The following is a 22,604-nucleotide window of genomic DNA, read 5'->3' on the forward strand; positions in this document are numbered from 1 at the left end:
GCTGTGACTCCCCAGTGTCCCTGGCCATCTCCAGAGGCCTCCACCTACTCCTTCAAGGCCGGGCCCCTCCCTCCTTCCCTTGCTCCCTCTGTTCCTGACCTCCAGGGACACAGACGCCTACCCAACCTTGCCCAACACTTGGTCCTGATCTTGTCCCGCCCCAGCTGTCAGTTATCAGGCCTCAGAGGAGGGGACAACACCTCACACCCCAAAACCCCAGCTGCCTGCTCTTCCCCAGCTTTCATTCGTGAGTGTGCAGGAGGGGACGGGGAGGGAAGGAATTATGTCAATATCGTGAAAGAAAATGAGGCAGCTACAACTAAGGCTTTCTAAAGTGGGAGTCGGGAGACCGTGGGAGGATCGCACTCACACCGGCTGAAGGTCAAATCGCAGAATGTGCCAGTCGGTTTGGCTAACAATTGAAGTCAGAATCCACCGCCTTCAACCTCTCTTAGCTGGGAGTACCCTAATGAACTAACCAATCAGAATGGGCTTGCGATAGAGGATTTCCGCCCAGCCAATGAACTGCCTCCGAAACAACTTTTTGTGGAAATCCCTTATAAAAAACCTCTCCTGCCCTTGCCTTACGGGATGCTATTCAGGGCTGCCCTGAATAGTCCTATCTGATTCAGTGTACGCGAGTCGTAGTTCTTTGTTTCCTATATAAATGCTATTTCTTTTGACCTCCGTGTCAATCTCTTTTTTTAGTTAACAGCATAGACCAGTTTTTGTTCTTTTTTTTTTTTTTCAGACAGAGTCTCACTCTGTTCCCCAGGCTGGAGTGCAATGGCGAGATCTCAGCTCCCTGCAACCTCTGCCTCCCAGGTTCAAGCGATTCTCCTGCCTCAGCCTCCTGAGTAGCTGGGATTACAGGCGCCATCCTGCCCAGCTAATTTTTGGTATTTTTAGCAGAAACGGGGGTTTCACCATGTTGACCAGGCTGGTCTTGAACTCCTGACCTCAAGTGATCCGCCTACCTTGGCCTCCCAAAGTGCTGGGATTACAACAGGTGTGAGCCACCATGCCCAGCCCCTAAAGATTCTTTAAAACTCCAGCTGAGGCCGGGCGCGGTGACTCACGCCTGTTGTAATCCCAGCACTTTGGGAGGCCAAGGCGGATGGATCACTTGAGGTCAAGAGATGGAGATGATCCTGGCCAACATGGTTGAAACCCCGTCTGTACTAAAAATACAAAAATTAGCTGGGTGTGGTGGTGTGTGACTGTAGTCCCAGCTACTTGGGAGGCTGAGGCAGGAGAATCCCTTGAACCCAGGAGGTAGAGGTTGCAGTGAGCTGAGATGGTGCCACTGCACTCCAGCCTGGCAACAGAGCAAGACTCCATCTCAAAACAAAACAAAACAAAAACCCAGCTGAGTGTTCAGGGCCCTGGTTGGTGCATGCCTTGTGTGGAGTAGCACACGTCATTTCCAATGTACTCAGCCTGCTGTTCTAACTCAGCACTTGTCCTTATCCGACATTGCATCTCAGCTTGTTTATGTGCTTATTGTCTTTTTCCATTGTCAGAATGAAAAAGCTCTGCTCATTCTACACGTTTAAGGAGCACCTACTGTGTGCCTGGTCCTGGTCTAGATACTGAGGACACAGCACTGAATATCACAGCCCTAAACCCCTGCCTCATGGAGTTTAGACTCAATTTTGGGGAAACAGAGAATGAAAAAATTAATAAGCCAAATAAGTAATGAGTTAGATGGTGTTAGATGCTATAGAGAGAATAAATTATGGCGGGTGGGGGGTGGTAAGATGTGCAACTTGGGAGTTAGGGGAGAAGTCTGAATTTTAAATAGGGTGGTCAGGGCCAGGCTTGGTGGCTCATGCCTGTAATCCCAGCACTTTGGGAGGCCATGGTGGGGAGATTGCTTGAGGCTAGGAGTTTGAGACCAGCTTGGGCAACATAGCAAGACCATTTCTCTAAAAAAAAAAAAAAATGTTTTTTTAATTAGCTGGGTGTGGTGTGTGTGCTGTAGTCCCAGCTACTTGAAAGACTTTGGTGGGAGGATTGCTTGAGACCAAGAGGTCAAGGCTGCAGTGAGCTATGATTGAGACACTGCACCCCAGCCTGGGTGGCAGAGTGAGACCATATCTCTAAAATTATAATAATAATAATATTAATAGAGTGGTTAGGAAGGGCCTTCCAAAGAAGGTGACAGCAAGTGCAAAGGTCCTGCAATAGAACCATGCTTGGGATGTTTTAAGAACATCAAGGAGGCCAGGGTGGATGGAACAGAGTAAGTGATGGGGAGATGATGGCAGATGAGTCAGAGAAAAGGAAGAGGAGGTCAGATCTGTAGGCTCCTGGGTTATGGTAAGGACTTTAGTTTTTAGAGATATGGGGAGCCATGGGAGGGTTTAGAGCAGGGGAGGTGCATTATCCAACTTGAGTCTAACATGATCCCTCTGGCTGTCATGATGAAAATTGATTTAGCATCCATGACAATTCTCAGCTATATCAGTCATTACTATAATTGCAAAATGGTTTTTCTTTTCTTTTCTTTTTTTTTTTTGAGACAGGGTCTTGCTCTGTCACCCAGGCTGGAATGCAATGGTGTGATCATAGCCTGCAGCCTCGAACTCCTGGGCTTAAGCGATTCTCCCACCTTAGCTTCCCTGGTAGCTGAGACTACAGGAACACATTATCACACCCAGCTAATTTTTAATTTTTTTGTAGAGACAGAGTCTCAAACTCCTGGCCCCAAGCAATCCTCCTGCCTCAGACTCCCAAAATGCTGGGATTACAAGTATGAGCCACTGCGCCTGGCTGCAAAACGATTTTTCTAACTCTATCATTTTATTTATTTATTTATTTTTCGAAATGGGGTCTGACTATGTTCCCCAGGCTGGTACTATCATTATTTTGATATTGATAGTTGGCATTCTCCAAAAAAGAAGAACAGAGTCATCCTGGGATCATTCTCTCCCTCCACCCCCTGGCCAATCACTTTCCTTTTACTTATTTATCCTCAGCACTCAATAGGTTTTTATTTAAGTCAGTGTTTCTAAATACATTAGTATTGTTATTTTTATGCTCAAACTGTCCCAATTTTAGCCAGTAGGAGCTTCTTCAAGCTGGTTGCTGGCTTTCTGACATGTTCCCATCATTCTTTGAGCACCTTGCTTTGGGGCAAAACAAGATGTTCCAGGCCCACTTTGCACTTTCTCTGACCCTGGAGTCAACCATTTCTCCTAGAGCCCTGGATCCCTTGAGTGGAAATGAGGATCTGGGCACTGGATGCTTTCATTGTTTCTTTTTATATTCTCTTTTCTTTCTTCCTTCCCTCCCCTCCTTACCCCTCCCCTCCGTCCCTCCCCCCCCTTCCTTCCTTCCTTCCTTCCTTTTTCTTTCTCCTTCCTTCCTTTCTTCTTTCCTTCCTTCCTTTCTTCCTTTCCTTCCCTTCCTTCCCTTCCCTTTCCCTCCCTCCCTCCCTTCCCTCCTTCCTTCTTTCCTTCCTACCTTCCTTCCCTCCTTTCTGTCTTTCTGCCTTTCTTTCTCTTTCCTCTCTTTCTTTCTGTCTTTCCTCTCTTTCTTTCTCTCCCTCCCTCTCTCCCTCCCCTCCCCTGCCCTCCCCTCCCTCCCTCCCTCCCTTCTTTCCTTCCTTCCTTCGTTCCTTCCTTCTTTCCTTCCTTCCTTCCTCTCTTTCTTTCTCTTTCTTCTGAAACAGTGTTTTGCTGTGCTGCCCAGGGTGGAGTGCAGTGGCGCAACCATGGCTCACTGCAGACTTGACCTCGCAGGCCCAAGTGATCCTCTTACTTCAGCCTTCTGAGAGGCTGAGACTACAGGTGCATGCCACAATACTGGCTGATTTTTTTTTTTTTTTTTTTTTTTTTGGTACAGACAAGATCTCACTATGTTGCCCAGATTGGTCTCAAGTTACTGACCTCAAGCAATCCTCCTGCCTCAGCCTCCCAAAGTTCTGGGATTACAGGTGTGAGCCACTGCGTCCAGCCTACACTCATTGTTTCTGGGGTGTCATTGTCCCTGGTGTCACTCAGTGGACAGAGCCAGGAATGACATAGATATGTTTCCAGATTTTGACATATCAATATGAAAAGTCATGAGTTCCTACTGATACCTCTAAATCCAGCCTAATATCACAGTATTCTTCCTGGGCTTGTAGCTTTCCATGTTTGTATTTTTCTTTTCCTATGGTGATACACCTGGATCCCAAATCAGCACTATATTTATTAATTTGCTTAATCCTAAAATACAAGAGAATGGTTTCAAACTTGTTATACTACTGTGAAAAAAACAAACCTATGACATAAAATTTAAGATTCAGGCTGGGCATGGTGGCTCACACCTATATCCCAGAACATTGGGAGGCTGAGGCAGGCAGATCACTTGAGGTCAGGAGTTCAAGACCAGCCTGGCTAACATGATGAAACCTCATCTCTACCAAAAATACAAAATTAGTGGTGGGCACCTGTAATCCCAGCTACTTGGGAGGCTGAGGCAGGAGAATTGCTTGAACTCAGGAGGCGGAGGTTGCAGTGAGCCGAGATCGCACCACTGCACTTCAGCCTGGGCGACAGAGTGAGACTCCATCTCAAAAAAAAAAAAAAAAGAATTTAAGATTCAGTTGTCCTTCCTTCCTCCCTCTCTCCCTCCTTCCTTCTCTTCTTCCCTCCCTCCCTCCACTCCTCCCTCCCTCCCTCTCTCCCTCCTTCCTTCCCTTCTTTCCTCCCTCCCTCCCTCCACTCTTCCCTCCCTCCCTCTCTTCCTACCTTAGATTGAAGGTATGCAGTTGAAGAACTGTGTTAAAAAGTTACTTGGGGCCAGACGCAGTGGCTCACACCTGTAATCCCAGCCGAGATCAGTCTTAAAAAAAAAAAAAAGGTAGTTGGGTTACTTCTCCCCAGACCCCCATTCCTTTTAGTGTGCTTATGTTTATTTAAATACAGTCAGGATTATTTGTTTCTCTTTGTGTTCATCTTTAGGGGTTTTCTCCATTCTATTGAGTTGAATGGATTTTTTTGTTTGTTTGTTTTCAGAGACAGGGTCTCACTATGTTGCCCAGGCTGGTCTTGAACTCCTGGGCTCAAGTGATCCTCTCACCTCAGACTCCCAAAGTGCTGAGATTACAGGCATGAGCCACTGTGCCCAGCCTCTTCATTCTCTTTTTTTTTTTTTTTTTTTTTTGAGATGGAGTCTCACTCTGTCACCTGGGCTGGAGTGCATTGGTGTGATCTTGGCTCACTGCAACTTCCGCCTTCTGGGTTCAAGTGATCCTCCTGCCTCAGCCTCCCGAGTAGCTGGGACTACAGGCGCCTGCCACGATGCCTGGCTAATTTTTGTATTTTTAGTAGAAATGGGGTTTCCTCATATTGGCCAGGCTGATCTTGAACTCCTGACCTTGTAATCCACCCGCCTCGGCCTCCCAAAGTGCTGTGATTACAGGCGTGAGCCACTGCACCCGGCCTCATTCTTTTTTATAGCTGCATAGTATTCCATTTCCCAGCTGTTGTGTGGTTTATTTAATGAAGCTTCTATGTATGGGCTTGAAAGTGTTTCCAACAGTTTAAAATTACAAACAATGCTGCAATAAATAACCTTATGGATAAATACTTAGAGGTGGGATTGCTGGGTCAGAGGTAGATGCCCTTGGTGTTTTGTTAGACATTACTCTTCCTGTCTTTTGCATACCCACTAGCAACGTGCATGTGCCTGTTTCTCCAGGCTCACCAACAGGGTATGTTGTCAAGCTTCTAAACTTTTTTTTTTTAATCTCATAGAAAGAAATGATATCTCAGTGTAGTTTATTTAAAGTTTTTTTTTTTGTTTTTTTTTTTGAGAGGGAGTCTTGCTCTGTCACCCAGGCTGGAGTGCAGTGGTGCGATCTCAGCTCACTGCAACCTCCGCCCCCGGGGTTCAAGCGATTCTCCTACCTCAGCCTCCCGAGTAGCTGGGATTACAGGCATGCTGTAATTTTTTTTTGTATTTTTAGTAGAGACGGGGTTTCACCATCTTGGCCAGGCTGGTCTTGAACTCCTGACCTCATGATCCACCCGCCTCGGCCTCCCAAAGTGCTGGGATTACAGGCGTGAGCCACTGTGTCCGGCCCTAAAGTTTTTGTTTTTGAAAACATGTACTCTTTATCTAGTTTCTCCCAGTGATAACAACTTATGTAACCAGAGTATAAATATCAAAATCAGGAAATTGACTTTGATATGGAACTTTTTTTTTAACTTTTAAAAATTTTTTGAGACAGGGTCTCACTCTGTTACCTAGGCTGGAGTGCAGTGATACAATCTCAGCTCACTGCAACCTCCGCCTCCCAGGTTCAAGCAATTCTCGTGCCTCAGCCTCCCGAGTAGCTGAGATTACAGGCGTGTGCCACCATGCCCAGATAAATTTTTTTTGGATTTTTAGTAGAGATGGGGTTTCACCATCTTGCTCAGGCTGCTCTTGAACTCCTGAGCTCAAGCGATCCTCCCACCATGGCCTCCCAAAGTGCAGGGATTACAGGCATGAGCCCCCGAACCCGGCCTGATATGGTACTTTAAATTACAAATCCCAGCACTTTGGGAGGCCATGGTGGGAGGATCGCTTGAGCCCAGGAGTTTGAGACCAGTCAAGCAACAAAGTAAGACTCCATCTCTTCAAAAACTCAAAAAAATTAACCAGGTGTGGTGGTGCATGCCTGTAGCCCAGCTACCTAGGAGACTTAGGTGAGAGAATCACTTGAGCCTGAAAGATTGAGGCTACAGTGAGCTATGATTGCACCACTGCATCCCAGCCTGGACGACAAAGTGAGACCCTGTCTCAAACCCAAGAAAACAAAAATCAAAAAACTAAATTACAGACCTTATTTCAGCAGTCTTTACATGCACTCTATTTTCACTGTATATTTCTTACTTCTTCTCCTTCTCCTTCTTCTGGACAGAGTCTCACTCTGTCGCCCAGGCTGGAATGCAGTGGCATGATCTCGGTTCACTGCAACCTCCACCTCCCAGGTTCAAGCGAATTTCCTGCCTCAGCCTCCCCAGCAGCTGGGACCACAGGCACATGCCACCACCCGGCTAATTATTTTGTATTTTTAGTAGAGATGGGGTTTCACAATGTTGGTCAGGCTGGTCTTGAACCCCTGACCTCACGTGATCTGCCTGCCTCGGCTTCCCAAAGTGCTGGGATTACAGACATGAGCCACTGCACCTGGCCTCTTCTTTTTTGAATGGTTAAGTATAGAGTTTGTTTTCACCCGAAGATTGAGGTTGGGCACTTAGGAGCATCGCTTCATGTTACCCTGAATGTACCATTCAGGGTATACGCTCTCTCACCATATATTTCTCTGAATGTTTATTTTCAGTGTAGCTTTAATTTGCATTTCTCCTATAGTGAATGAAGCAAGCATTTTTCATAAATATAATGGTCACTTCTACATCTTTGTTCATGAATTATTTGCTGATGCTTTTTGCCCATGTTTTCTGTCTGGTTTTCACATTTTCCTTCTCAAACCTTTTCTTTCTTTCTTTCTTTCTTTCTTTCTTTCTTTCTTTCTTTCTTTCTTCCTTCCTTCCTTCCTTCCTTCCTTCCTTCCTTCCTTTCTTCCTTCCCTTCCTTCCCTTTCCCTCCCTCCCTCCCTTCCTTCCTTCCTTTTCTCTCTCTTTCTCTCTCTCTCTCTCTCTTTCCTTTTTGACAACTTCTTGCTCTGTTGCCCAGGCTGTAGTGCAACTCACTGTAGCCTCGACTTCCTAGGCTCAAGCAATCCTCCCCCCTCGGCCTCCCAGTAGCTGGGACTGAGGCAGAAATTAAAATAATAATAATAATAAGTACTACATATATTCACTCCAAGAGAAGTAAGAGCTAAGGCCCAGAATGTGGCAAGGCAAGGGTTAAAAAAGAAGAAGAACAAGTTTTCCTCTGCTTAGCAGCTCACTTCAAGGACAGTTATAAGATAACGCTGTCCGAAAAGCCAAGGCCAGAGGACTGGGCTCCAGACCCCGCCCTCCACCCCACCGCCCGCCTCCAGAGCAAGGTTGAAGGAAAAAAAAGAGAGAAAGACAAATTATTTTATTGCTATTCCTTTCCTTGGTCTCTTAAGCATGACTATGTTTTACAAACCTCTCTATTTAGCCAGTTCTTGTTTTACTTTTGATGCAGCTACAAGGCCACCAGCTATGCAAGGCCACAAGTTATGCACTATATGATTAACTACTTTTGTTTTACCTTTCTAAGCTTGCTTATAAAAACCCCACAATATCTTTGTTCTAGGCTCAGCTTTTTGGATGTGAATCCACTGAGCCAGTGCGTACGTTGAAATAAACATCCTCCTGTTCTCTCATATTGGTCTCTCCGTTCCTCAGTTTCCCACAACAGGACTACAGGTGTGCACCACCAAGCTCAGCTAATTTTTATATTTTATAGAGACAGAGTCTTGCCAGGTTTCCTAGGCTGGTCTCAAACTCCTGGGCTCAAGCATTCCTCCCACCTTGGCCACCCAAAGTGCTGTGATTACAGGCATGAACCACTCACCTGGCCTTCCCTCTCAAATTTTAAGAGTTCCTGATATATTATATGATATATGTTGAGATATATATACATATATATATGTAATGTATATATATGATATATGTTGCAAATAGTTTCTCCTGGTCTGTCAGATGTCTTTTGACTTTGCTTATTGAGTTTTTTGACATGAAAAAGTTAAAAAATTTATACAGTCAAATGCATTAATCTTTTATTGCATCTAGGTTTTTTTTTTTTTTTTTTTCTTTTGAGACAAGGTCTCATTCTGGTTGCTCAGGCTGGAGTGCAGTGGTGCAATCTCGACTCTCTGCAGCCTCGACCTTCCGGGCTCAGGTGATTTTCCTACCTCAGTCTCCCGAGTAGCTGGGACTATAGGCGCGCCTCACTGCGTCCGGCTACTTTTTTGTATTTTTAGTAGAGACGGGGGTTTCACCATGTTGCCCAGGCTGGTCTTGAACTCCTGAACTCGCCCGCCCTGGCCTCCTGGAGTGTTGGGATTACAGGCGTGAGCCACCGCGCCCGACGGCATCTAGGTTTTGAGTAGTAGTTAGACAGCTTTTTCCCACACACATGTAAAAAGGGTATTTGAGGGACAATGGGAAAAGTTGGAATAAAGACTGCATTAGATAACTGTATTAAATAAATGGCAAATACCATTAAATAAATCTGGCCGGGCGCGGTGGCTCACCCCTGTAATCCCAGCACTTTGGGAGGCTGAGGCAGGCGGATCACCTGAGGTCAGGAGTTCAAGACCAGCCTGGCCAACATGGCGAAACCCCGTCTGTACTGAAATTACATAAATCAGCTGGGCGTGGTGGTGCGCGCCTGTAATCCCACCTACTCAGGAGGATGAGGCAGGAGAATCGCTTGAACCCGGGAGGCGGAGGTGGCAATGAGCCGAGATCGCGTCACTGCACTCCAGTCTGGGCGACATATGGAGGTTTTGTCTTGTCTCAAAAAAAAAAAAAAAAAAAAACTTGGGGAAGTGTGCTAAACCGGGTTTGCGTAGGTGGAAGGGGCGGCCGGGCTCTTTAAGGTGGGTCCCGCCCCGTAGGCCTCCCCTCGCGCCAGCCCCTCCCATCCCGGAAAGGCTCAGCCCAAGCCCGGCCCCGCCCGCCCTCGGCCCCGCCCATGGCAGAGCGCAGTCACGTGACCCGGGCTGCGGGGCGCAGCATTGTGCGGTCATGGTGGGCCAGATGTACTGCTACCCCGGCAGCCACCTGGCCCGGGCGCTGACGCGGGCGCTGGCGCTGGCCCTGGTGCTGGCCCTGCTGGTCGGGCCGTTCCTGAGCGGCCTGGCGGGGGCGATCCCAGCGCCGGGGGGCCGCTGGGCGCGCGATGGGCAGGTCCCTCCAGCCTCCCGCAGCCGCTCGGTGCTCCTGGACGTCTCGGCGGGCCAGCTGCTTATGGTGGACGGACGCCACCCTGACGCCGTGGCCTGGGCCAACCTCACCAACGCCATCCGCGAGACTGGGTAAGGGTTGGCTTATCCCCACGCGGGGCCATCGGGGGAGGGGGATGCGTGGGCGCCGGACCTCGCCTGTTCCCGGGACCGGCCTCTTGCCGGGTGGGAACGCCCGTTTCTCTGGGGGTCAGCTACTCCCGAGGCTGCAGCACCGCCCTGCGGGCCAAGTACCCTGTTTGGGAGCTGGCTACTGCGGCATCCCTCACCTCATGGGGCCAGTCCCTTGCCTTCAGCCAGTGGTGACAGTACTTCTGTCCCCAAGAAGCCAGTTCCCTACCACCGAGGCCGCAGTGCCTGCATCTGGATCAGGTCCATGGCTGGTGGGTAAATTCTATCCTCACGGGGACCTGCTCCCTTCCCTAGACTTTGCCTCCTCACCCCATGGAGGCCAGCCCCCTGTCCCCAGGCCTGAGGGGTGATGAGAACTCAGCAGGAGACTAATTCTTACCTGCTTGGCTGTGGCTTGCTCGTGGGTGCCAGCACCCTGCCTCCCTTCCAGTGCCAGGTCAGCAGGACTGAACCTGGGTTCCAGGCTAGTCCAAAAGCAGAGGGTCCCTAAAGTCACATAGACCCATTTAGTATCCTGCTAGGGCTCTGCTCCTCCCTTGTCTTCTGTGTCCTGGTCCAAGGGGAAGTCCTTGGCTGGATGCCGTGTTTGGCAGCCATGCTCACCATCTTTATTGCTGGAACCCAGGCTGTCATTCTGATGTGTGAGTCTCACCTAACTCCTCCGCCTGTCTGGGCTCCCGTTTCCCCATCTGTGGCCCAGATTTTGAGGATGTGCTCTAGTTGGGTGGTCATGTGCTGCAAGTTCTGTACAAGGGCTTGTGCCCATTCATTTATTCATTACCCTGATGGTTGGCCTTAGGGACACAGCTGAGCAGCTGTCTCTACTCAGTGGGAAACACAGACAGCGATAGAAGAGAAATCAGAGTCAGTGGGAGTGGGAAGGATCAGCTTCAAAGCCTTGTCAGCAGGGCCCAGACGCTGGATCAGGCTGTGCTGGGGGATCCTAGGGAACCCGGGGTGCATCCGTCATATCCTAGTGTCCAGATGATGCTAGGGAACCCTAGCACTAGGATGTGCCCAGGATGTGGTCTGTGCTCAGACCACACTGCCCCCTGCAGCAGAAAGGGCCTCCTCCCACTTTAGCCCCTATCCATTTTACTGGCATCCATTGGCTTCTGCAGGTGTTAGGGAGACACAGGATGCCGAGGACACCCCCATTCTGGTGGCACTTGGGGGGTACATCAAGTAGACGTGAGATTTGGGGGAGATATTTGCACAGACACAGGGGCACTGGTTGGGGTAAATCTGGGAAGGCTCCCAGAGAGAGGAGGCCACAGAGTGAGCTGGCATCTGTGGAGGGAACTGAAGCTTTGTGGCTGGCCTCGGGGGCTGCCGGGACTCTTGGATCTGGTGACCCGTTCTTTGCTGACTCACTCATGTTTTTGGCCCTGCATAGCAGAATCAAGAGGACATGACAGAACTGTTCAGGCGAGGAGGGGCAGGAGCGAGGCCCAGCATGGGGAGGGGGCTTTGGCCTCTGGAGGCCCCTCCTGGGCTGTGTTGCTCTTGACTATGGTAAACATGGAAGTGGAGAGAAGGCTTCCTTGATTGTGCTGGATGGAAAGTTCTTCCAGGCTCAGCCCCTCTGCTGTGTGACCTTGGGCAAATCCCTTCACCTCTCTGAGCATGTTCCCTCATATCAAGGTAGGACCAAAAGGGTCATGGAAATTCACTGGGGTCACAGAAAGCACTGTTTATTTATTTTTATTTGTATTTTATTTTTTGAGACACAGTTTCACTCCGTTGCCCAGCTGGAGTGCAGGGGCACGATATTGGCTCACTGCAACCTCCCCACCCTGGGTTCAAGCGATTCTCGTGTCTCAGCCTCCCAAGTAGCTGGAATTACAGGTGTGTGCCACCATGCCCGGCTAATTTTTGTATTATTAGTAGAGATGGGGTTTCACCATGTTGGCCAGGCTGGTCTCAAACTCCTGACTTCAGGTGATCTGCCCATCTTGGACTTTCTGGCTTGTTTTCGGCACCCTCTCTCATCCCCTCCTCTTACGCTCACATGCCCCTTTCCCTTTGAGTTTGCCAGCCCTTGAGGCTCTGATGCAGGGAAAACCATAAAGCGAGCCCCATTTTATAGGCAGGAAACTGAGGTCCTCAGAGACAGCTGCTTGAGGACTCAGGGTCAGATGAAAGAAAGCCATAGGGGGTGTCCTGGCTCCTGATCAGCAGAATCTCTGATCTGTGGGGGACTCTGTGTCTTATTTCGGAGGGTGGGGGCAGGGATTTGATGCCTCTGTTCACTCAGAATTAGGATCCTCCTCCTTCCTGGTGAAATCCCCAGATTTTGCCACTGGGGATCCTGGGATTATCAGGATAAATTCTCCCTACACCATAATCCTTCGTCTTTTTTATTTTTTAAAAAAGGTTTTTTTTTTTTTGTTTTTTTTTTTTTTTTGAGACAGGGTCTCCCTGTGTTATCCAGGCTCGAGTGCAGTGGTATGATCATGGCTCACTGCAGCCTTGAACTCCCAGGCTCAAGAAATCCTCCGACCTCGGCCTCCCAAGTAGCTGGGACTATAGATACGCACCCCCATGCCTGGCTAATTTTTAAATTCTTTTTTTTTGTAGAAACAGGGGTCTTGTCATGTTGCCCAGGCTGGTCTTGAACTCCTGGGCTCAAGTGATCCTCTCACCTTAGCATCCCCAAATGTTGGGATTACAGATGTGAGCCACTGTGCTCGGTACCTTCTTTCAGTTGTGCCATATCTTGACTTTGGGCCAACACCCCCACACAGCCTGGAAACATTTATGATTTGGTGCTTGGAGATCAGAGATGTCACTAGGAGCAGAGCCTGCCTCAGTCTAGCTCTGGCCTTGGTCCTGGGGAAGCTGTATCCTCCAACCTTACTTTGTCTTCCTTCCCTGATCTGATCCCACTGACCAGCACCTTATCGACGAGGTTGCTTAAAGTAAATCACCATCCCGTTGAGAGAGGAAGTGAATCAAAGTTAGAGGGAATTAACAAATTTAGTAAACGGGGAAGCATCCCAAATCCACCAACCAACAGGCAAAAACAGCCCAGTAAAATGGATAAATAAGGCCCAGCTGTTTCTTTGAACAATCACAGGAGATGAATCTATACCATCAAGAATGAGAAAGGAGGACAGGCGCTGTAGCTCATGCCTGTAATCCCAATGTTTTGGGAGACCGAGGCAGGAGGATGGCGAGGGGCCAGGATTTCGAGACCAGCTTGGGCAATGTGGTGAAACCCTGTCTCTGCAAAAAAAAAGTAAAAAATTAGCTGGGTGTGGTTGCGCATGCCTGTGGTCCCAGCTACTCGTTTGAGCCTGGGAAGTCGAGGCTGCAGTCAGCTGTGATTGTGCCACTGCACTCCAGCCTGGGCAACAGAGTGAGACCCTGTCTCAAATAAAAAAAAAAAAAGGCTGAGATAGGAGTGATAGACACAGTTATGGGGGGCATCCCACATAATGGAGAGCATCCAAGGCCATACTAGACTGCGGAAGTGGGGTGCTGATATTTGTGAGATATTTGTGGCCCCCTGCTCATATCAGTGGTCTGACTTTTTCCAATGTGGCCTCTTTCAAGAGGCACCTTGATTAGACTCTTGAGTCATCTTAGAGACATTAGCTGCCCCTGGCATGAAATTGCAATTTGGCCCATAGATTTTCCAGGAAAAAAAAAAAAAGATTGAGGAAACAGACCTACTGCTGCCAACTTTTAATTTTTGTCAAGCAAGTGCATTAAAAACAAAGGAGAGCAATATTTGTCAACCCCTGTCAGCGTTTATCTCATAAAAGATTGGCAATTTTAGAGCAAACAAGCAGAAAGGACATACTCTCTGAATAAGGAGTAATCTTCTTTTGATTTATTTTTTTTTTTTGAGATAGAGTCTGCTCTGTTACCCAGGCTGGAGTGCAGTGGCATGATCTTGGCTCATTGCAACCTCCGCCTCCTGGGTTCAAGTGATCTTCCTGCCTCAGCCTCCCTAGTAGCTGGGATTACAGGTGTGAGCCACTATACCCAGCTAATTTTTTTTTTTTTTTTGTAATTTTAATAGAGATGGGGTTTCACCATGTTGGCCAGGCTGGTCTTGAACTCCTGACGTCAGGTGATCTGCCCACCTCAGCCTCCCAAAGTGCTGGGATTACAGGTGTGAGCTATTGTGCCTGGCCGAAGAGTAGTCTTTAATAAGCACATCTAGTTATAGACACACTCTAAAGTGTTTTTCTGGCCGGGCGCTGTGGCTTGTGCCTGTAATGCCAGCACTTTGGGAGGCCGAGGCAGGAGGATTGCTTGAGCCCAGGAGTTTGAGACCAGCCTGGGCAACATGGTGAGACCCTATCTCTGCAAAAAATATAAAAAACTAGCTGGGCACGGTGGTGCGTGCCTGTAGTTCCAGCTACTCAGAAGCTGAGACGGGAGGACTGCTTGAGTCCAGGTGAGGCTACACTGAGCTGTGATCACGCCAGTGCACTCCAGCCTGGGTGACAGAGTGAGACCCTATCTCAAACAAAACAAAACAAAACAAATTTCTAGCAGTTTAGAAAGAGGGGATGGGATATGGGAAGTAAAAGCCTCCCCCTACCATTCTTCCTAGATATAAACATTTTTAGCTTTTTTTTTTTTTTTTTTTGAGGTGGAGTCTCGCCCTGTTGCCCAGGCTGGAGTCAGTGGCGCGATTTCGGGTCGCTGCAAGCTCCGCCTCCCGGGTTCACGCCATTCTCCTGCCTCAGCCTCCCGAGTAGCTGGGACTACAGGTGCCCGCCCCCACGCCCGGCTAATTTTTTGTATTTTTAGTAGAGACGGGGTTTCACCATGTTAGCCAAGATGGTCTCGATCTCCTGACCTCATGATCCACCCGCCTCAGCCTCCCAGAGTGTTGGGATTACAGGCGTGAGCCACTGCACCCGGACTTTTAGCTCTTTCTTCCAGAATTTTCTATGCATAAAGAGGCCTAAACCTTCTTGCATACATATAAATGTAGAGGCATATGTGGTGTGTGATGCATTTACACAGGGGCTTAGTTCGTGCCTACCATTTGGACTTCTCGACTTTTTTTTGAACTTCATCTCTGACCTCTTTGCTCATCAGCACATGCAGTCCGCTATGGCATGTGTGATTATTGTATCAGGCCCCTAATGATGGGTGTTTCGGGAAGGCCCGTCTTTTCTGGCTTTGAAGAGAAGTCCTGCTGTGAAGAAGGGCCTTTATGCCCATCTCTGCAGGGCTGTATGAGCATCCGGCCAGGGAATGGGTTCCTAACCACTGCCCGTCTCCGGGGCCTCAGTGCCGAGGCCTTGGCTGAGCCCACCCTTGCTAGAAGGGGTAGCTCTCACCAGGTGTGCCCTGGAGGAGGCCACTGGCCGCTCAGTTACTACTGGGGCTCGCGGCTGCACAGCTTTTTTGGTTTTACGCAGTTTGTCCGAGGTCTCCTTTGATCCACTGCCAGCTTTTATCACGAGGGGATCTGCATATTGGGCCCTGTTATAATCTTCCTCCCATCATCACACTCGCCGGGTCTCCTCAAACTCCTACCCCCTCAGATTCTTTTTTTTTTTTTAATGAGACAGCATCTTGCTCTATTGTCTGGACTGGAGTACAGTGGTGTGATCATAGCTCACTGCAGCCTGGGCTCAAGCGATCCTCCCATCTTAGCCCCAGCCTCCTGTGACTATAGGCAAGCACCACCACACCTGGTTAATTTATTTTGTATTTTTTGTAGAGAGGGGAGTCTCGCTTTATTGTCCAGGCTGGTCTCTTACTCCTGGTCTCAAGTGATCCTCCCACCTCAGCCTCCCAAAGCACTGGGGTTACAGGCATGAGCCACTGCGCCATCTCCTCTCAGATTCTTGATGAGACAAATACTTAGTGAGTGCATAATGTGTGTTCTCTCCTGGCACATGCCACAGCAGTCCTCTGAAGGGGGAGTCACTCTGCCCATTTTACAGATGAGAAAACCGAGGCCCCGAGAGGTAAAGCAGTTTGCCCAAAGGTACACAACCAGTAAGGGATCTACCCAGGGATTCAGACCAAGTCGGAGGGACCCACAAGCCCAAACTCTTTGTCTTCCATTCTCCTTGAAATTTAAAAATCTAATTTTTTCCCCTTGTTTTTTCCTCTGTCCTTATCTGTGATGCTATGTGAATAATTAGCCCGAAGTTCATGGCTGTCATCTGCATTTGATAAGAACTATACCTCCTTGCCCCCAACACTCCCCCACAAACCTGAGTTGAGTTAGAGGCGCAGAGCATTCACTCAAGAATGTTAGTCTCAGCTCTGCTGCTCACCTGCTGTGTGACCTTGGGCAAATCACTTCATCTAACTGTATTATGTGGGAGCCTCGGTTCCCCACATCTGTAAAATGGGAAGAATAAAACCCATGTCATACGGTTGTTGGAAGAATTTTTTTTTTTTTTTTGACAGAGTCTCATTCTGTCACCCCGGCTGGAGTATAGTGGCACAATCTTAGCTTACTGTAACCTCCCGGGTTCAAGCGATTCATGCCTCAGTCACCAGAGTAGCTGGGACTACAGGCACGCACCACTACACCCAGCTAATTTTTGTAGTTTTAGTAGAGACGAGGTTTCACCATGTTAGCCAGGCTGGTCTCAAACTCCTGACCTCAAGTGATCGCCCTCCTCAGCTTCCCAAAGTGCTGGGATTACAGGCGTGAGCCACCGAGCCCTGGCCATTTTTGGAAGAATTTAGAGTTACATAAAAATGTAAGTACTTACCACAGTTTCTGGGGCTACTGTAATTCCCTGTATCAAGGCCCCACTAAAGATCCCCACAGCCCCACCCTGCTGGCCCCAAAGTACTTTGCTTTGGAACATTCAGAACTCAGGCTTCTTCCTTTTACTTTCTCTCTTCTCTTCACCTGGCAAACTCCTATGTAAACTTCAAAACCCAGAACAGCTGTCACCTCTTCTGTGATGCCTTCACAGATTGTAGTCAGATAATTGTAGCAGCAGCAGTATACCTCCTCAGGACAACCCCTTGACACTTTATTCGTTTTTCCATCATAATGGTTACCCCGTTATGTCCTTATCTGTTTTCATGCCTTTCCCCTCTGCTGCCACTAGCATTTTGAAGGCCAGATGAACATCATTCATCCTTAGATACCCTCAATGTCTGGCAGCCAGTAGGCACTCAAAAAGGCTTGCTTACTGAAGGTATCAGATGTGGGCATTTTTGAGTCTTTCCCTCTCCAGAGTCTTCTCCAGGGCTGAGCTATTCCTGTCCTGGAAGTGTTCGATGGCTTTTTAGCCAACTTCCCACGAGACAGCCCTGGCCAAGCCTGCCTCTCCCTGTCTTGTACCCTCTTCAAGGTCTCTTTAGCGTCTTCCTGTTGCCCTCATTTTCTTAATAGAAATTGCCTTTAAAAATGCTTCCCCCCGCTAGTTATAGAAATGACATGAGTGAATATTTTTGTGTCCTTGGAGCAAAAATGATATCTAGCACCGTGAAGGAAAAGATTGATCTGGTTACACAAAAATGAAAACGTCTATATGGCAAGAACAAATGCAAAAACCAATTAAAACACAAACATATTTTCTCTTATTATTATTTTAGAGAGAGGGTCATGCTCTGTCATCCAGGCTGGAGTGCAGTGGAATGATCATAACTTACTGCAGCCTCAAACTCTTGGGCTCAAGTGATCTTCCTGCCTCAACCTCTTGAGTAGCTGGGACTACAGGCACACCCCACTGCACCTGTAACTTTTAAATTATTTCGTGTAGACAGAGTCTTGCTTTCCCAGGCTGGTCTTGAACTCCTGGCCTCAAGTGATGCTCCTGCCTTAGCCTCCTAAGGTGCTAGGATTATAGGCATCAGCCACCTGGCCTCTCCCCACTCCCCTCCTTCCCTCCTCCTCCTCTCCCTCCCTCCCCCTTCCCTCCCCTTCTTTTTTCTTTTTCTAGACAGAGTCATGCTCTGTCACCCAGGCTGGAGTGCAGTGGTGCCATTTTGCTCACTGCAACCTCCGCCTCCCAGTTCAAGCGATTCTCCTGCCTCAGGCTCCTGAGTAGCTGGGACTACAAGAGTGTACCACTACACCCAGCTGATTATTCTATTTTTAGTAGACATGGGGGTTTCACCATGTTGGCCAGGCTGGTCTCAAATTTCTCGAATTCTTGGCCAGCCAAAGTGCTGGGATTACAGGCATGAGCCACTGTGCTTGGCCCCGTATTCTCAATGTTAGTGACAAGCAGAGGGCTAATGTGTATACAGGGAATTTCACCAACCAATAAGAAAAGATTTTTAAAAACCCAATAGAGAAAAATGGATAAAGGACATGAAACAGAGAAATATAAATGACCAATAAAAATAAGAAAATATATGTAACTCAACTAATTTAAAAATTGGAAGCATGTTGGAACTTCTGCAGCTATCACCTTGGTAAAGATGAAAAAGTTTGCTAGTAATCATTTTAGTGAGGGAGTGGGCAAACAGAAGTTTGCTCATTGTAGAGACTCAGTCTGTGACCTGCTATGGTTCCAGGACTGGCAGTGTTGGCATTACCTGGAGGCTACTTAGAAGTGCAGAGCCCGGGCATAGTGGCTCATGCCTGTAATCCCATCACTTTGGGAGGCCGAGGCAGGTGGATCACTTGACGTCAGGAGTTCAAGACCAGCCTGGCCAACATGGTGAAACCCCGTCTCTACAAAAAATACCAAAATTAGCTGGGTGTGGTGGCACATGCCTGTAGTTCTAGCTACTCAGGAGGCGTAGGTGGAAGGATAGTTTGAGCCTGGGAGGCCGGAGGCTGCAGTGTGCCAAGATCATGCCGCTGCACTTCAGCCTGGGTGACAGCAAGATGCTGTCTCAAAAAAAAAAAAAAAAAGAAAAAAGCCCTGGTGCAGTGGCCTTAAGCTACTGTAAAGTATCTTAACAAAGTGCCTGTAATCCCAGCACTTTGGGAGGCTGAGGTGGGCGGATCTCTTGAGGCCAGGAGTTCTAGACCAGACTGGCCAACATGGTAAAACCCTGTCTCTACTAAAAATACACAAATTAGCTGGGTGTGGTGGCTCACACCTGTAATCCCAGCTACCCCGGAGGCTGAGGCAGGAGAATCACTTGAACCTGGGAGGCAGAGGTTGCAGTGAGCTGAGATCATGCCAGTACCCCCCAGCCTGGGAAACAGCCAGACTCTGTCTCAGGAAAAAAAAAAAACAAGAATCTCAGACCCCATTGCAGAACTGATCAGAACCTGCCTTCTAACCAGGCCTTCAGGTAACCTGCATATATACATCAGAGGTTGAGAAGTGCTCCTTCAGAGGAGTGGGAGCCAGCCTGCCTGGAAGTGAATCCTGCCCCTGCCAACTCTGTGACCTTTCACATGTATCCGCTAGTATTGGGCAGCAGTGCTGTGTGATAAACCAGCCCCAATCCAGCAGCTTAAACCAACAACATTGATTCTCATGGATCCGTGGGGCTGCTGGGGCAGCTCTACTTCATGCTGCAGCTCTACAGACCTGGTGTGCTTGTGTGGCTCTCATATCCCTGGGACCAGTGGGCTGGCCGGGGCTTGTTCTTCCCATGGTGATGGCAGAGGCACAAAGGGGCAAGTGAGGCTTCCTGAAGGCTAATCTTATAACTAGCATGCTGTCACTTCCACCCATATCCCATTGGCCAAAGCAGGTCACGTGACACAACCAAGCCCAAATGAAGGAGCAGGGAAGGATACTTGGCCATTGGTGGAGGACTGTAGTCTCGTGGCAAAGGGCATGGACATGGGGGTGGGGATGGCATGTGACATAAGTCTGTGTTTTAATTTCCTCCTCTTCTGCAAGAGGGACAAGATGGGGACGTGCCCACCTTGTAGGATTATAGGGGACTCAATGAGTTAATAGACATGAAAGTGACTAGAACATGGCGTGGCACAGAGCTAACATGTCATCCTCAATGGATGTTGTTAGCTGGTGTTATTGTGGGTAAGGGAATATAGATATGTTCTGCATTTTTGGGGGAGGCTGTTTGTCAATATCTATGAAAATTAAAAATACGTGTACCCTTTGAGCCAGTAGTTCCTCTTGGAGGGATTTAATCCGGCAAGCTCACAAAGATGGACAGACAGACATTCACGTGCACGTCTACTGACCACTGTGTTGTTTTCATAGTTTAAGCCTGGAGATGCCATGTGTCTAGCTGGGGGCCTCTGCTGCTGACTGAGTGTCCCCTCCTTCCCCTCCAGGTGGGCCTTCCTGGAGCTGGGCACAAGTGGCCAATACAATGACAGCTTGCAGGCCTATGCAGCCGGTGTGGTGGAGGCTGCTGTGTCGGAGGAGGTAAGGGCCAAGGTGGGGACATGGGGCTCCCACCCTGCCCCAGCCCCACAAGCATGTTCCCCAGTGTGCTTTTGAGATGTGTGCAGAGTAGGCCCCCAACTCCTGCCACAGCCCTTCATCTATCTGGGGAGAAAAAGTGGACATGCATTCTTTAGAAAATTACACTAGGGGCCGGCCACTGCACCTGGCTCTCACCCACTTCTGATATTGTCTGACTTCTTATAAAGCTCAATAACAAGTAAAGCAAAATAGTATGTTGTTCAGGGACTCATCACATGCAGTAAAACTAGCTTAACAAAAGTAAGGGAGTAGGCACAACTCGAATGCCCAGCTGCTGATGAATGGATACATACAACGTGATCTATCATACAATGCAACATTATTCAGCTATAAACGGGAATAAAGGACTGACGCACACCAGAACATGAAAGAACCTTGAAAACATGCTAAACGAAAAAAACCAGTCACAAAAGGGCACATACTGTATGATTCTGTTTATATAAAATGTTCAGAATAAGCAAATCTACAGAGACAGAAAGCCAACTAGTGGTGCCAGGGACTTGGGGGGAGTGGGGAGTGGGGAGTGACTGCTGATGGGTATGGGGTTTCTTTCTGGGATGATGAAAATGTTCTGGAGTTAGAGAGTGGTGATAGTTGCACAACCTTATGAATACATTAAAAACCATGAATTGTACTTTTTTTTTTTTTGAGACAGAGTCTTGCTCTGTCACCCAGGCTGGAGTGCAGTGGTGTGATCTCGGCTCACTGCAACCTCTGCTTCCCAGGTTCAAGTGATTTTCCTGCCTCAGCCTTCCGACTAGCTGGGATTACAGATGTGCACAACCATGCCCACCTAATTTTTGTATTTTTAGTAGAGGTGGGATTTCGCCCTGTTGGCCAGGCTGGTCTCAAACTCCTGACCTCAAGTGATCCGCCCACCTCGGCCTCCCAAAGTGCTGGGATTACAGGTGTGAGCCACTGTGCCTGGCCAAATTGTACATTTTTAAATGTGAATTTTATGGTATGCTGACTATATCTCAATATAAATGACTGAATGAAAGGGAATGATAGCTACCGCATTTAGGGTGGTGGGTGCCTCTAGGGATAGAGGAGGCAGGGGCTTAGGGGATGCTCAATGGTATCAGTACCATTCTAGGTTTTAGTTTGGATGTTCATTTTATTATCATGCTTCATAACTTAGAATATGTTATATATTTTTTCTGTGTATCAGATAGTACCTAGTGTAATTTTCTTTTTCTTTTCTTTTTTTTTTTTTTTTTTTTTTGAGACAGAGTCTCACTCTGTCACCTAGACTGGAGTACAGTGGCGTGATCTTGGCTTACTGCAACCTCTGCCTCCCTGGGTTCAAATGATTCTCATGCCTCAGCCTCCAGAGTAGCTGGAATTACAGGCATGCACCACCACGTCTGGCTAGTTTTTGCATTTCAAGTAGAGATGGGGTTTTGCCATGTTGGCCAGGCTGGTCTCAAACTCCTGACCTCAAGTGATCTGCCCACCTCGGCTTCCCAGAGTGTTGGGATTACAGGTACGAGCCACCTGGCCTAGGCTAGGCAGACATGCTATCAGGCATTGATGACCACTTTACAGAGACAGCTTGTCATGTGTACTTCACAGTAAACACCGACATTTTCCAGGGAATCCATAAATTACTGACTTTTCCATTGATGGCCTAACCAGTGGCCCAAAGGCAGAGCACCTGCCTGTAATCCCAGGATGTTGGGAGGCTGAGGAGGGAGGACTGCTTGAGCTCAGGAGTTGGAGGCTGCAGTGAGCTAGGATTGTACCACTGTACTCCAGCCTTGTGACAGAATGAGACCTTGTCTCAAAAAAATGAAACAAAACAAAACCACACAAAAAACAAAACAAGAAGTAGGCGAGGCTGTGGAGTGACAGCTGTCTCCTGTGATGCAGATGGAGGCATGCATTGGGTCACAAGTTGACATCAACTTGTGGAGTTGAACCTGCATGTGCCTTAGGATCCAGCAGCCCTACTACTTGGGTGCATACCTTAGAGGTGACCCACGGACATGCACAAGGTACTCAAAGCAGTCCCAAAGTGGGAGTCCTTAAAACACCATGGGCAGGTGAATGGCTGACCAGGTGGAGGTGCACAGTGCAGCATGACAGAGCAGTGGAAATGGGTGAATCTGAGATGCCTGGAGGCGAGGGGGAAAGAGCACATCACAGAGGACAACGTCCAGTGGGACACCCTTTTATAAAACTCACACTGCTCCTTCTGACACCCAGTCGCAGTTGTGGGTGGCCCTCTGGGACCTTAGTGTCTGGGGAAGTGGTCAGATGCTGGGCCA

The 22,604-nt window shown here is 48.4% G+C and overlaps 1 protein-coding gene and 1 long non-coding RNA gene across 5 annotated transcripts in view, besides 4 other annotated features; one reads left to right on the top strand and one right to left on the bottom strand.

Moving 5' to 3' along the window:
• Nucleotides 1-4,521: 4,521 nt before the first annotated feature.
• LOC105369989 (uncharacterized) lies at nucleotides 4,522-10,575 on the bottom strand. The gene is made up of 3 exons (XR_945346.3): nucleotides 10,395-10,575; nucleotides 4,740-4,833; nucleotides 4,522-4,560 (listed from the first exon to the last, which is right to left on the bottom strand). It is a non-coding gene; the product is annotated as an uncharacterized LOC105369989 (long non-coding RNA).
• Nucleotides 9,466-9,965: a silencer, noted in NCBI's record as "silent region_4894". NCBI's record gives its function as "represses an Ori minimal core promoter by ATAC-STARR-seq in GM12878 lymphoblastoid cells {active_cell/tissue: GM12878}" and the evidence as "EXISTENCE:reporter gene assay evidence [ECO:0000049][PMID:35858748]".
• PLBD2 (phospholipase B domain containing 2) overlaps nucleotides 9,652-22,604 on the top strand; it is a 33,043-nt gene continuing 20,090 nt past the window's right edge. For 2 of the 4 annotated variants that reach the window (NM_173542.4, NM_001159727.2), the window contains exons 1-2: nucleotides 9,652-9,955; nucleotides 20,181-20,274. In NM_173542.4, the coding sequence (NP_775813.2) occupies nucleotides 9,666-9,955; nucleotides 20,181-20,274 (384 nt within the window). In that variant the 5' untranslated portion in view covers nucleotides 9,652-9,665. Of the gene's footprint in view, nucleotides 9,956-20,180; nucleotides 20,275-22,135; nucleotides 22,332-22,604 lie in introns of those variants that run through there. The other 2 variants (XM_017018977.2, XM_011538023.3) reach the window with 2 other exon arrangements.
• Nucleotides 10,016-10,075: a silencer, noted in NCBI's record as "silent region_4895". NCBI's record gives its function as "represses an Ori minimal core promoter by ATAC-STARR-seq in GM12878 lymphoblastoid cells {active_cell/tissue: GM12878}" and the evidence as "EXISTENCE:reporter gene assay evidence [ECO:0000049][PMID:35858748]".
• Nucleotides 10,411-10,910: an enhancer, noted in NCBI's record as "H3K4me1 hESC enhancer chr12:113797151-113797650 (GRCh37/hg19 assembly coordinates)". NCBI's record gives its function as "activates a minimal SCP1, AML or CMV promoter by ChIP-STARR-seq in naive H9 embryonic stem cells {active_cell/tissue: H9 hESC(naive)}" and the evidence as "EXISTENCE:reporter gene assay evidence [ECO:0000049][PMID:30033119]".
• Nucleotides 14,776-15,276: an enhancer, noted in NCBI's record as "H3K4me1 hESC enhancer chr12:113801516-113802016 (GRCh37/hg19 assembly coordinates)". NCBI's record gives its function as "activates a minimal SCP1, AML or CMV promoter by ChIP-STARR-seq in primed H9 embryonic stem cells {active_cell/tissue: H9 hESC(primed)}" and the evidence as "EXISTENCE:reporter gene assay evidence [ECO:0000049][PMID:30033119]".

Source organism: Homo sapiens, chromosome 12 (genome assembly GCF_000001405.40).
Source record: "Homo sapiens chromosome 12, GRCh38.p14 Primary Assembly".
In the NCBI taxonomy this organism is placed as follows: Eukaryota; Metazoa; Chordata; class Mammalia; order Primates; family Hominidae; genus Homo; species Homo sapiens.